At 43.8% G+C, this 13420-nt stretch overlaps 2 protein-coding genes across 51 annotated transcripts in view, besides 7 other annotated features; one reads left to right on the plus strand and one right to left on the minus strand.

Annotated features, from left to right (window-relative positions):
• The window catches only part of PIAS2 (protein inhibitor of activated STAT 2), a 116928-nt gene extending 104633 nt beyond the window's left edge, over positions 1 to 12295 (minus strand). For 28 of the 30 annotated variants that reach the window (NR_136684.2, NR_148702.2, NR_148700.2 and 25 more), the window contains exon 1: positions 9472 to 9657. Coding sequence is in view for 6 of the 30 variants with exons in the window: in NM_004671.5 (NP_004662.2) it covers positions 9472 to 9495 (24 nt within the window). In the remaining 24 variants the exon portion in view is untranslated. Of the gene's footprint in view, positions 1 to 9471; positions 9658 to 12208 lie in introns of those variants that run through there. The other 2 variants (XM_006722573.3, NM_001324060.2) reach the window with 1 other exon arrangement.
• Positions 3054 to 3555: an enhancer, noted in NCBI's record as "H3K4me1 hESC enhancer chr18:44490867-44491368 (GRCh37/hg19 assembly coordinates)". NCBI's record gives its function as "activates a minimal SCP1, AML or CMV promoter by ChIP-STARR-seq in naive H9 embryonic stem cells {active_cell/tissue: H9 hESC(naive)}" and the evidence as "EXISTENCE:reporter gene assay evidence [ECO:0000049][PMID:30033119]".
• Positions 3556 to 4055: an enhancer, noted in NCBI's record as "H3K4me1 hESC enhancer chr18:44491369-44491868 (GRCh37/hg19 assembly coordinates)". NCBI's record gives its function as "activates a minimal SCP1, AML or CMV promoter by ChIP-STARR-seq in naive H9 embryonic stem cells {active_cell/tissue: H9 hESC(naive)}" and the evidence as "EXISTENCE:reporter gene assay evidence [ECO:0000049][PMID:30033119]".
• Positions 9027 to 9106: a silencer, noted in NCBI's record as "silent region_9421". NCBI's record gives its function as "represses an Ori minimal core promoter by ATAC-STARR-seq in GM12878 lymphoblastoid cells {active_cell/tissue: GM12878}" and the evidence as "EXISTENCE:reporter gene assay evidence [ECO:0000049][PMID:35858748]".
• Positions 9027 to 9916: a biological region, named in NCBI's record as "NANOG-H3K27ac hESC enhancer GRCh37_chr18:44496866-44497619".
• Positions 9053 to 9806: an enhancer, noted in NCBI's record as "NANOG-H3K27ac hESC enhancer chr18:44496866-44497619 (GRCh37/hg19 assembly coordinates)". NCBI's record gives its function as "activates a minimal SCP1, AML or CMV promoter by ChIP-STARR-seq in primed H9 embryonic stem cells {active_cell/tissue: H9 hESC(primed)}" and the evidence as "EXISTENCE:reporter gene assay evidence [ECO:0000049][PMID:30033119]".
• Positions 9177 to 9916: a silencer, noted in NCBI's record as "silent region_9422". NCBI's record gives its function as "represses an Ori minimal core promoter by ATAC-STARR-seq in GM12878 lymphoblastoid cells {active_cell/tissue: GM12878}" and the evidence as "EXISTENCE:reporter gene assay evidence [ECO:0000049][PMID:35858748]".
• Positions 9744 to 13420, plus strand: part of KATNAL2 (katanin catalytic subunit A1 like 2) — a 184650-nt gene continuing 180973 nt past the window's right edge. For 20 of the 21 annotated variants that reach the window (NR_148563.1, NM_001353904.1, NM_001353899.1 and 17 more), the window contains exon 1: positions 9744 to 10076. The gene's annotated coding sequence lies outside the window, so the exon portion shown is untranslated. The remainder of the gene's footprint in view (positions 10077 to 13420) is intronic. The other variant, NM_001387690.1, reaches the window with a different exon arrangement.
• Positions 11314 to 12066: an enhancer, noted in NCBI's record as "H3K4me1 hESC enhancer chr18:44499127-44499879 (GRCh37/hg19 assembly coordinates)". NCBI's record gives its function as "activates a minimal SCP1, AML or CMV promoter by ChIP-STARR-seq in primed H9 embryonic stem cells {active_cell/tissue: H9 hESC(primed)}" and the evidence as "EXISTENCE:reporter gene assay evidence [ECO:0000049][PMID:30033119]".

Here is a 13420-nt window from a genome sequence, read left to right on the forward strand (position 1 = left end):
AATCCCCCAGGTACACCAAGGGGCAACTGTATATATACTACACAGGTTCCATTTATATAAAGTTCAAAAACAGGCAATACTAATCTGTTAAAGTTAGGATAGTAGGTCGCTTTTGGAAGAATGAGGTGAGGTTAGCCACTGGGGAGGGGAATATTTAGAGTGCTGGTAATGTTCTCTTTCTTGACCTGCACGATTATTATTTTGAGAAAATTCATCCAGCTATAATTTCATTATCTGTGTACTTCCTATGTGTATGCTATATATCAAAAGAAGTTTGGTTTTTTATTATAAAAAATATTATCTTACACAGAGATGGGGTCTCACCATGTTGCCCAGGCTGGTCTTGAACTCCTGGCTCAAGTGATGCTCCCACCATGGCCTCCCAAAGTGATGGGATTACAGCCTTGAGCCACCTCACCAGGCAAGAAGTTTGTTTATGCTAGCAGCAGCATCATCTTGTTTTAGTTACTGTAACTTTTTAACAATTTCTGTAAAAACAGACTAACGGCCCAGAGTCCAGAACCAAAGCACAGATGAGTGATGGCATCCAAACCAGTGAAGAAAAAAATTTGCATGAAAGGTGATGGAACAATTTATTATTCTTTGAGGAAAAACCATGCATCTTGGTCACCACTTCACACTGTATACAAAATCAACTCCAGGTGGATTAAAACCTTAAATGAGAAAAGGTAAAAAAAAAACAAAAACAAAAAACAAAAAAACTACGTCTTATACTTTTACAATAATGGAAAATATCTTCGAGAACTCTGTTGAAAAATTTCTTCAACAAGATTCAAAAGCACTATCCATAAAGAAAAGCCTGATAAATGCAATCACATAAAAATTAAGAACTTCTACTCATCAAAAAACGCATAAGGCTGGATGCAGTTGCTCATGCCTATAATCCCAGCACTTTGGGAGACCAAGGTGGGCAGATCACCTGAGGTCAGGAGTTCGAGACCAGCTTGACCAACATGGTGAAACCCCGTCTCTATTAAAAATACAAATATTAGCCAGGCATGGTGGCGGGTACCTGTAATCCCAGCTACTCAGAAGTCTGAGACAGGAGAATCTCTTGAACCTTGGGGGTGGAGGGTGCAGTAAACTGAGATCACGCCACTGCACTCCAGCCAGGGCTACAGAGTGAGACTCCATCTCAAAAAATAAAAATAAAAATGATTTAAAAGTGAGCCCAATTGAAAGGAGAAATTTGCACCACATGCATCCAACTGTGAAACTATTAAAAATCAGTATGAAATAATTTTTTTAAAAAACTAGTACAAACATGGGCAAAAGACATGAATAGGAATGTGAGAAAAGGGAAGAATGGCTAATCAGTATAGTAAAAGATGCTCAAACTCATTAGCAAAGCAAATGAAAACTAAAAGGTGGTATTTTATACTCGTGGGTAAAAACTTTTTTTTTTGAAACAGGGTCTCACTCTGTTGCCCAAGCTGGCGTGCAATGGCATGATCACAGCTCACTTCCTAGCTTCAGGTGATCCTCCCATCTCAGCCTGCCAAGTAGCTGGGACTACAGGTGTGGGCCACTATGCCCAGCTAATTTTGTTTTGTTTTGGTAGAGATGGGGTTTCACCATTTTACCCAGGCTGGTCTCAAACTCCTGGTCTCAAGCCATCCACCCACCATGGCCTCCCAAAGTGCTAGGATTACAGGCGTGAGCTACCATGCCCAACCGATAAAACCTTTTGAAGTGTGACAAAAGTAGATGTTAGCAAGAAAGCTGAGTAATGAAAACTTCTGCATTGCTGGAGAGAACGAAGACTGACACCACCTTTTTTGGAAGATAATCTGACATTATCCAATATTGGTGAATATGCACACATTCTTCTTAAATACCAGCAATTCTATTCCTAGAATCTCTACAGTGAAACATACAAATATTCACACTAAGTGAGATCAACAAAGATTACAATATCAGTGCAGGTCAGGGTTTTTCTGCAAGACAAGTTTGGTGAAACTTTACAGTTTTTTTCTCTTCATTTTCAAACATTTGGATTTAAGAAATATGGATGGCCAGACACAGTAGCTCACACCTGTGATCCCAGCACTTTGGGAGGCCAAGGCGGGTGGATCACCTGAAGTCAGGAGTTCAAGACCAGCCTGGCCAACATGGTGAAAACTAATAATACAAAAAAATTAGCCGGGCATGGTGCACACCTGTAATCCCGGCTACTCGGGAGGCTGAGGCAGTAAAATTGCTTGAACCTGGGAGGAGGAGGTTGCGGTGAGTCAAGATCGCGCCACTGCACTCCAGCCTGGGCAAGAAGAGCAAAACTCCGTCTCAAAAAATAAATAAATAAATAAATAAATTTTACATATGTATATATGTTAAAAGTATAAAGACAGACCAGGAATGATGAATCCAAAATTCAGTACAATGGCTACTGTCATTGGTGAAGGTGGACATGGTTGCAGTGGATGTGATCAGGAAAGTGCATCCTGCTAAAGTTACACTAATGAATTAGTAAACTGGTTGGTAATTATATGTATGTTTGTTTACATACGCCTTACCTGTTATAATCTTTTGTACTTATCAAATAACTTAAATATTTAAAATACAAAAATTAGTATGGAATACCTAAATACAAACCCACTGTTAGAGTCACCAATTCAGGGAAGTGTCTCAAGAACTCTAGAGAAATTAGCATCAGAGAAATTCAAGGTATTTCCCCATAAATCAAGGACAGGTTGCTATTTAAAAAGAAAGAAAAATGAAAGATGATAGAAGAACTCTTATAAATTAAAGATAACTACTGAAATAAATTTTATAGAAAAGTTCAAAGACAAAATCAAAGAAACCTTTCAGAATGTAAACAAATCCCGTAGATCGTAGACTACAATTGTAGATTACAATCTTCTACAGGAGAATAACCATCAGATCTGCAATGGACCTCTGATTAGCACACCAAGTATTTTAGATTCCCACAGCAAAGTTTTCAAAATTCTGAGGAATTTATAATTCCACATGTAAACTTTCAATCAGGAACAAAGACAAGCCATTTTCAACATTCGAGAACTCAGAAAGTTTATCACCAGCATATCCTTCCAGAAACAACTATTGAAGGCTGTATTCCTGTAAAATAAAAAAGGTATCTAAAAGAGAAAAACATGGGATCCAAATAACAATAGATCTAACCCAGGAGAACAATGTGAAGTAATCCCAGGATGACAGCTGGGTAACAGGTCTACTAAGCTTCCCAAATTAGAAAAGGCAGGCCAAGACTCCGGAAAGTCTACCAAGACAAGCTGAATGGCTACAACATGAGAACCCATTATAATATTAAATTTTAAAAATAACTTCAATGAGCTTTCCTCATTCAACCAGGACTTTGTTATATTTCTTTTTTTTTTTTTTTTCCTGAGACGAAGCCTTGCTTTGTCACCCAGCCTGGAGTGCAATGACATGATCTTGGCTCACTGCAACCTCCACCTCCCGGGTTCAAGCAATTCTCCTGCCTCAGCCTCCCGAGTAGCTGGGATTACAGGTGCCCACCACCACGTCGGGCTAATTTTTGCATTTTTAGTAGAGACGGGGTTTCACCATGTTAGCCAGGCTGGTCTCTAACTCCTGACCTGAGGCGATCCGCCTGCCTGGGCCTCTCAAAGTGCTGGGCTTACAGACGTGAGCCACTGTGCCCGGCTGACTTTGTTATATTTCCTTTTTAAGGATCACAGGTTTAACAGAAGTGAAGTTTCTCTATGGCTCCACAGTACTTGGTTCTATAGTAACTAATACTCATGTCAACATACATATTTAAAAGAGTGGCTATTAGTACTCAATTTCTAGATTTTCCTGCAGAAGCACAGAAAACTTTAGAAGAGTTATAAAACATTATATAAATGCAATAAATCTTGCCAATGTAACAGTACTAACCAAAAACAAAGGCTGGGGCCGGGCTCAGCGGCTCATGCCTGTAATCCCACCACTTTGGGAGGCCAAGGGAGGGGGAGTGGATCACCGGAGGTCAGGAGTTCAAGACCAGCCTGACCAACATGGTGAAACCCTGTCTCTATTACAAATACAAAAATTAGCCAGGCATGGTTGCAGGTGCCTGTAATCCCAGCTAATCGCGAGGCTGAGGCAGGAGAATCGCTTGAACCCAGGAGGCGGAGGTTGCAGTGAGCCAAGATGGCGCCATTGCTCTCCAGCCTGGGCAACAAGAGCAAAATCCTGTCTCAAAAAAAAAAGGAAAAAAGAAAACAAAGGCTAGGAAGGGAGGAGGGAAAAACAAAGGCAAGGTTTGGCTTTTAAATCCCAAAAGGAAAGGGATCGGTGTTATATCTTTTTCTGAAAGACCAGGAAGTGAGGAAATATAGTTGTCTCTCAGTATCCGTAGGGGGCTGGTACCAGGGTCCCCTGCAGATACCAAAATCCAAGAATGCTCAAGTCTCTTACATGAAATGGCATAGTATTTGCATATAAGCTATACACATCCTCCTACGTACTTTACATCATTTCTAGTTTACAATACCTAATATATGGCAAATGCTATGAAATGGTTGTTATACTATACTGTTTAGGAAATACTGACAAGGAAAAAAGTCTGTACATGTTCAGTACAGATGTAACCAACCTTTTTTCCTGAATATTTTTGATCCAAGGTTGGTTGAAACCAAAGATAAGTCATTCACAGACATGAAGGGCCAAATATACTGTCTAAAAGTGATAGGTCAATAAACAGAAATTTATAATAAAAAGTTAAAAATAACAGCAAAATTAGGAACCAAAATGTAACTGATAGAAATCAAAGTCTAGGACAGGTGGAAAATGACCTAAATTTCTTATCTAGCAAAAAGTTAAGAAATATTTTTTTTGAGTTGAAAAAATATAGAGAGAAAGGCATGGTATATTTTTAGACTTTTGGAACAACAATAAAACCCTAAAAACAAACAAACAAAAATGGTTAAAAGCATAATGGGAGTGGGATTTAATGGAAAAGGGAAGACTTTCACTATTTTGAATTTTTTCAGTACTGTCTGCACAAATATTGCTTTCATTTAAAAAATATGAGAAATGGAAATGAGAGAATAAAAAATGTGACATCAGGTGATCCACCCGCCCCAGGCTCCCAAAATGCTGAGATTACAGCCTTGAGCCACTGCGCCCAGCCTATTTCACTTTAAGTTAAATATATTTTGTTTCGAACGTGCTTTCATAGACATGAGCTCAGGTGAAGCCTTGGAAATTTTAGTTGCATCCCATAATAGCTTTGAATCATATGGAAGATTCTGTTATATCTATCATAGCTATTAGTCTGTATCCCTGCCCAATAAATGGGGAGAGGAGCGTGATGAGGACCTCTAACCTCAAATCCCCCATTAACTTCCCATTCTCCTGCTGCATCCTAACAGCACTTGAAGTTATCAGGATGGTGACTCCTGGTAGGTGTAAGGAAACCAAACACTTAAGCCTTCTAGACAGAAGACCTTCTGTTACAGAATTACTTAGGCTTCTTAGCATGAAAGACCCAAATCTGATCTTCGAATTATGACACAACAAATTTACCCAGTTTGGTAAATGTTCTGGTTTACCCAGTATCTATTGATAAAGTTATCATCGCTGGCTCTCTCAGGCCAAATGCACAACCAGATTCTCACAGGCACATTCTCTCTCATTCTGAGACACACACAGAATAAATTCTCAATGCATGAAAAGAAGGGGATGAAGAATACAGAAGGGAGATCCTTAAAAAAAAAAAAAAAGTCACTACAATAGATCCCCCTCCTCCCCATTGAGTGATGAGAAGTAGGGAAAGTAGATTAACCAGGTTAAAGTGTAGCAGGGACCTTTTTGTGAATGACTGCCACCAGCAGACCACAATATTGGAAATATGCAACTGGAAGGGTAAAGAAAAAGCTGCTCTGGTTAAAGAAGAGGTAAGTGATTCCAGAAACTCAACTCCTGCTCTCCTCCATCCCTGTGCTTAGCTCTTCTACAGACTAGTTTGAGACAGGGTCTCCCTCTGTCGCTCAGGCTGGAGTGCAGTGTCAAGATCAGAGCTAGCTGTAACCCAGAAATCCTGGCTTCAAGCGATCCTCTTGCCTCTCAAAGCGCTGGAATTACAGGTGTGAGCTACCAAGCCCTGCCCTCCAGACCATTTTTGGAGGAGGAAGCAAGGCAGCAGTGACAGAAGTTCAGGCCATCAAATCTTATGATCTTGTCCCACATTAATTCACAACTAGTTAATTCAAAATCTGTTCATTCACAAACTAATCACTCCTTCAGCTCCTAACAACACAGATGCCATAAATAAGCAACTGGTAAATTGAGTAATTTCTTCTCTGGCACCTTGAAAGCTTCTAATATATAACACATTATTGTAACCATCTTTGAGCACACAGGCCACATTTTCCCTTTTCAGAGAACTTCCCCACTTCCTTTCCTTCAATCCATCAGGATAATCTGCTGATCAGGTTTGTGTGCTTTGACTCTAAGCCCCCGGCTATGGATGATTAGAACAGAAGTAGAGACCTAAACTCAGCCAATCAGATTCTCTCTCCCAGAAGAACTGGAAGAGAGGTGGGCTGGTATTCTGGTCACCCGGACTGAAAGGCAACAAGGTATAGAGCTGCCATATTCTGCTATGACCAGCCAAGATCTCTGGTACTGGCTCACGCAGCAGTCTCCAAAACTGAAATAGTCAGGCGACCCCCTTAACAGTTGCCTAATCGAATAACCAACCCTCCCCCCCCCAACTCCACCCCCGACACACAAGTCTGAAAAGCAAAGGCACCAGGGTCACCAAACCACACTGAGGATTACCTTTCCCAAAATTCCCTATCTCCAGTATAGATGCAGCACTAGCCAGGATATGAACTGCTCTGGTTATACTTGTCCAAAATGAGTAGCCTTGAAGGGTAATGGAAATCCTCTCTGTGGCATATCAGCAGCCAAATATGTGGCATCCAGATCGGCTGACCAATTTCTCTACTGCCAAGAAGTTAGCCAACAAACTAATGCCCAAAATTTTTCCTGGTCCTATAATTTACTTGAGCATCACTCTGACCACCACAATATATTCTGATCCAAGGACCATCATTTTGAGAATCCAAGATTATTTCTTCCCCTTTTCTTTCTTTCTATTCCGTTTTTTAGTCTGTTTTTCTTCCTTTATTATAATGTCACACAAGAAGGATGTTACCAATCATTTAATTTAGGAGCAATCGCAGGATGATGGCTAGAAGCTCCACCTAGACCCCAAGGTACCAGAACAAAGTAGTGTAGCCCGGGCTCTGAAAAGCCCAGACTCTAAAAGCTACATGTCTAAGATTAAAAATCTTAGCTTTTCAAATCTCAAGCTGTGTGATTTAGGTCAGGTTAACCTCTCTGTGCTTCAATTTCTTGAAAAAATTGTGAGAATTAAATAAGTATAGAAAAAATGCTTAGACCAGAACCAGGCATGGAATAACCACTATATTAAAATGGGTATATACCATCATCATCATTACTGTCTGTAATGGGATGTAAGGGCGGGGTACAGTTCATCTTCAAGTGTAGGGTAACATGGGTCTGCACAGAGCAGTTAAGGCAAAGAAAAGCAGATGATGCTTACTGCATGTGCCCAGCCTGCACCCCTCACTCCTCTGAAAATTCTCCCCAGTTAGTCTCTGTTGGGCACGTCATATGAATTGTGGGAGAGGGGCCATCTTCTAAAAATGCAAGAAGTAAAGACAGCTGATTTACAGGAAAAGAGGATGAAGCTGATCCACAAACCAAAACAGAGAGGAAGGCAGAAAGGAAGAGAAAAAAAAGCTTCTTTGGTTTCTATCACTTTCCAGTTGCTGGTTGCACTCCAATCTGAGCACTGACTGCTTTTACTCTGCTCTATAAGAGCGAGTAAATTCTTCGCTTTACATTAAGCTTTGGCCAACAACATTCACAAGAGTCTAATAAAAATCCTGGAAAGTTTTCATTAACAAAAAAAAAAAAAAGAACTTAGAAAACTTGTATACATCTGTTACTACACAAAAATTAAAAATGGCAGGTAAAAATAAATATAACTTCAGAGTTCAGTCTTCTCAACCCATCCTAAATCTAACGCATGAATTTACAGAGGTGAGGTTCAGGGTTCGTTGTTTGAAAAGCTCCACAGGTGTTAAAAGCTCTACAGCTGGGGCTCTGAGCCACTAAAACCCTTAAACTTATCAAGTATGAACACCCTTTACCTACACTTATGGTTCTCTGCATAAACTAGTATGGGGCATAACATGTATTAATATGTGTTTACTGGGAACTTAATAATTATTTTTGAAACAGCAGGAGGGAATATGGCAGGCACTGTGCAAACTCCAACAATCTCCGTTTAGAGCAGAGGATACGTTCTTTTGCTCACGTCCACTAAGCAGGTAACCAGCCAACATCCTTCCCCCATCCCATCTCTTGCGGAAAACAATAAATATACAAAACTGAACCTTTTACCGGATTCCTCTTCCTTATTTGAAAAAGAAATCCTAATATCATAAGTGTTACACAAACGAGTTGCAGTAAATGTAATTTCAAGTTTACACTCATCTCTACCTTGATACATTTAAAAAAAAAAAAAATCAGGGTTTCTGTCCGTAAACATCTCATTTATGTCGCCAGTAATTCAGCGATACACACAAATCCATCTCATTCGTCACACTTAGTTAGGACTTTAAAGGTTATCAGTCTGGGGGGAAAAAGTCTCTTCTGTTCTACCCCCATCACAGCCCTATTCCAGACCTCTGCTATACAAGGGTATCAACAATAAAGTTATGATCTTGTTTTAAGACTGAGAAGAAAAAAATATTTTTCCTCAAGAGTAAAAGGGGTGCACAAACCTCACAACATAGACTTTGCAGATTTCTTACTAAAACACTAAGAAAATATCGAGGTTTAAGGCCGATTATTGAAGGCAGGGATCCCCAAACATTAGGTTCCTCGAAGATGTTAGGAGGCAAGGGTGGGAGAAGGGGCCTTTTCTCGTGACAGACCTGACTAAACGGTAGCATCAGCCATAAGAAGAGGAGAGATTCCTAAACGCAACTTCAGCTTTCAGAAAACAGTCCTCCACCAAGTGAGTAGCATGCAGACTTGTGAATAGCCACAGACACGTACACCCCGGTGAAGGTGCAAGATCAAACGTTGCTTCCCACATCGGCCCTCACTGCGAACCGGGATGTCGGGTCCCCATGTGCCCCTCCTGGAGGGCGCCCCGACCCCCCGCGCCAGGTGTGCGGACCACTGGCAGCACTCAGGAGCCGGCTCGCCGCGGCCCAGGCCCGCCGCCCCCGCGCCGCCCGCGTGCCCTCCGCCGGCCCGCTCCCCTCCCCCGCGCCCTCGGCGCCCGTTCGTCCGCGGGCCGGGGCTCAGGGCTCCGCCAACCGGCCCCAGAGGCACGAGCAGGCGGCGGCCGGCGACGTTGCGGTTTCCCCACCTCCTCTCCCATCCCCTCCCCCGCGGCCTCCGCTCTCCACTCCCGCTTACCCTCAACTCTTCGAAATCCGCCATTTTATACCACCCGCGGGCGCCGCCGCCGCTGCCGCCGCACCCACTCCCGCTGCCGCCAACGACGCTGCCGCCACCACGGCCGCCGCCGCCTCCAGCACCATCCTGCACTGGGCGCCGCTTAAGACGCCGCGGCCGCCGCCGCTACAGCCGGGCCCGTCACGTGAACGGCGCGGGAGCTCCGCCTCCGACGCGCCGAAGCCCCGCCCCTAGCGGTGCCCCCTGCCCACCCGCGCGACCGCCTTCCGCCCGCGCCTTCAGTCCGCGCGGCGACAGCGCCCGCCCGCGCCTGCCCCGGCGTGCTGCCCCGCGGCTTGGCCCCGCTCGGCCCCAGGTCGTGCCTTCCCTCCCCGGCGGAGGCCCCTGCGGACTGCCTAGAGCTGGGTCGCAACTGAGGCGTTATCCGCGGGCCTGGCCTCGGGAAGTGGCGGGGAGGAAGAAGAGGCGGCCGGGACGCGTGACAGGAGCATTCGGGAAGATTCTTACGGTGCCCTTCACGCGGTGCCTATGGACGGAGAAAGCCGCCGCAAATAAAACCATCCCCCAGAGTAGTTGTGGCGGAATAATCTAAATATGGGTGTTGGGTAAGCTATTGTTCCCATCTAATGGTGAGGTTGTGTGACACCTCTTTGAATTGCTAATGTCCTGCAAGTACCAACCTTGCCGAGTTTTTCTGACCTTGAAGGGCACCTGAAGGTCACGGACTGCAGAGTTGGGAGAGTTAGGCGGTGGGGTTGGGGGCGGGGAGAAGTGAAATAAGAGCGCTCAGAAGGGCCATGCTAAAAAGTCGGGGAAATCTGATAGCTAGGAAGGAGTCAAACGCCAAGGCAGAGTAAGTAGATAGAAGGAAGCTTGATGGCCCCCCCGTAATGTGCTGATATAGGATGAAGGAAGATGCTGAGTCAAGATGGCCAGAAAAATCGCTGGACGGTGTCCAGGGTTCAATTTCCTTGAAGAATTGGGTGGAACCCACACACGAGAGGTCTTTAAAACAATGTAACTTTTAAGGCCCTGTTTAATCAGCCTCCTACCTACCGCCTCTTCCCACTACCCCTCGTTTCATCCGCACTGCACTTCCAGGTCTTCCTTCCACTCCCCTGCCCCCGCACCCCGCAAGTTTTGTTTTTTTGAGACGGAGTTTTGCTCTTGTTGCCCAGGCTGGAGTGCAATGGCACGATCTCGGCTCACCGCAATGTCTGCCTCCCGGGTTCAAGCGATTCTCCTACCTCCGCCTCCCGAGTAGCTGCGATTGTATTTTTGGTAGAAACGAGGTTTCTCCAAGTTGGTCAGGCTGGTCTCCAACTCCGGACCTCAGGTGATCCGCCCGCCTCGGCCTCCCAAAGTACTGAGATTACAGGCGTGAGCCACTGCACCCGGCCTCCCCTCAAGTTTTAAGGCTTCTAAATGTTGATCCTTGAACCAAGAATAATTTCCCACTCTCTTCTTTGTTCCTAACTCCTGTTCATCCTTCAGGTTTCACTTTAAGTGTCACTTCCTCAGGAAGACCATCCCTCACCCACATCCCACATTTTAATTCAAATTCCCCTGTTATGACCTCTCCTAGGACCCTGAACTTTTTCTTCCTGAGATGTCTCCATGGTAATTATGTAGGTATTTGTGTAATTGTTTATTTGATATATATGTGTGTGCGTGTATATATATATATGTGTGTGTGTGTGTGTGTGTGTGTTGTGTATATATACACAACACACACACATATTGTTTTGGCCAGGTGCAGTGGCTCATGCCTGTAATCCCAGCACTTTAGGAAGCCGAGGCAGGTGGATCACTTGAGGTCGGGAGTTGCAGACCAGCCAGGCCAACATGGTGAAACCCTGTCTCTACTAAAAATACAAAAATTAGGCCAGGAGCTGTGGCCCACGCTCTAAATTCCAGCACTTTGGGAGGCAGAGGCGGGCGGATCACCTGAGGTTGGGAGTTGGAGGCCAGCCTGACCAACATGGAGAAACCCCGTCTCCACCAAAAATGCAAAATTAGCCAGGCGTGGTGGCGCATTCCTGTAATCCCAGCTACTCCGGAGACTAAGGCAGGAGAATCGCTTGAACCCTGGAGGCGGAGGTTCCAGGGAGCGGAGATAGCGCCATTGCACTCCAGCCTGGGCAACAAAAGCGAAACTCCATCTCAAAAAAAAAAAAATTAGCCGGGTGTGGTGGCACATGCCTGTAATCCCAGCTACTCGTGAGGCTGAGACAGGAAAATTGCTTGAACCCAGGAGGTGGAGGTTGCAGTGAGCTGCGATCGCACCATTGCACTCCAGCCTGGGCAACAGAGTGAGACTTTGTCTCAAAAAATAAAAATTATTATTTTAAAATTTTATGTTAAAAAATTGTAAACCCACTAGACTATAATGGCTGATAAATGCCTAACAAATAGTTGGCCTTGTATTTGTTTAATGAATAAAGGAATGAATGAACAATGTCCAGGTTCTAAATCTGTCTCTCCACCATTAACTTTGTGATCTTCGCTTGGCTTATTCTTACTCTTGATTTATTCTCCGTAGACCTTGATTTACACCTCAGTAGAATTTAACATTGTTTAGTAGGCTTTAAGTGAATGCCACTGTGGGAGGAGTTTTCGGGGAATAGACGAATAGAGTACAATACAGCCCTGCCACAGAGGAGCTTACACCCATAAAGAGGACCAACATAAACACAAAACAGTAAGAAAAGAAAAGCAAAGCCCCACTGAAACTTACGTGCAGTGTTCTTTGTAGTTGCTTCCCAGCATTCATTCTGCCCCTTCCTCAATGTGTAGCAGCTCCTGGATGGGTTGGGTAGGTTTGACTGCAAAGAGTTCTAGGTGCTGCCCTAGACTGGCCTGAGTCATTAAGGACTGTTATGTCATTCTGGCCACAGTATTAGATCACAACTGGGCATATAAATCTGATTAGTACTGAGCATTTATAGGCTTTGCCAAGTAGATCAAGTGTGGACCCGTGCCCTAAGGTAGGCTAATCAGAGGGAAGCCTAGGACATTTATTCAGTGATTAGAGATAAGACTTTCTGGCATGTGGAACACTCGCCATTTTGCTACAGTGAAGAGCCAACCTGAGAACCAACCCTTCTTGTGAGCAGAAAAATCACACACACACAAAATCTCAGCATTGACTTTGATACTCACTCTGCCTCTGTACTGGCCAGTTTTCTTGAGCCAATGCCTTTCTTGTAAGGTTTTAGATTGTTTGAGTTGAGATTTCTATTAGTTGCAATAGAAAGAATTCTGAAATAGGGTGCTACTTTGTCTCACCAGACCAGATTATTAATTTGGCATTTTTTCTAATCTATACTCCCCAATAATCATTCAATATATGTTCAAAGGAATGGCTGAGTGGTAAAGGGTAGAAAGGGCATGTTTCTCTTCACTGTTGTGATCATTTCTGCTCTGGTCTAGATTTATATATCCTCATTAAAAAGAAATCCCTGCACTTACTTGAATCCAACTTCCTTATAACATAGTAATGTGGTATACCCTTAAAGGGGAGTGGAGAAGGAGGGAGGTGCAGTAATCTTATCACTCACAAAAGGCCACATATCAAAGTACCAGTGCCAGCCACATGCTGAACTCTTCTACCAGAGGAATTCTATTAAATATATCCTTTTTCTTTATTACATTTCCAATGGTAAAATGTTTTAGTGCTCTTTATGGATTGAATCTCCAGGCAATTACCTGACTAGGCTACCGTCTTAAAATGGCTCCAAATTAGAAGATTCATTATAAGTACTGTGATTAAAGTGTCCTAAGTTTTTTTGTTTGTTTGTTTTTTGTTTCTGTTTTTGCTTTTTGGGACGGAGTCTCGCTCTGTTGCCCAGTCTGGAGTGCAGTGGCACGATCTCGGCTCACTGCAACCTCTGCCCCCCCGAATTTAAGCAATTCTCTGCCTCAGCCTCCCAAGTAGCTGGGATTACAG

Source organism: Homo sapiens, chromosome 18, assembly GCF_000001405.40.
Source record: "Homo sapiens chromosome 18, GRCh38.p14 Primary Assembly".
Lineage (NCBI taxonomy): Eukaryota > Metazoa > Chordata > Mammalia > Primates > Hominidae > Homo > Homo sapiens.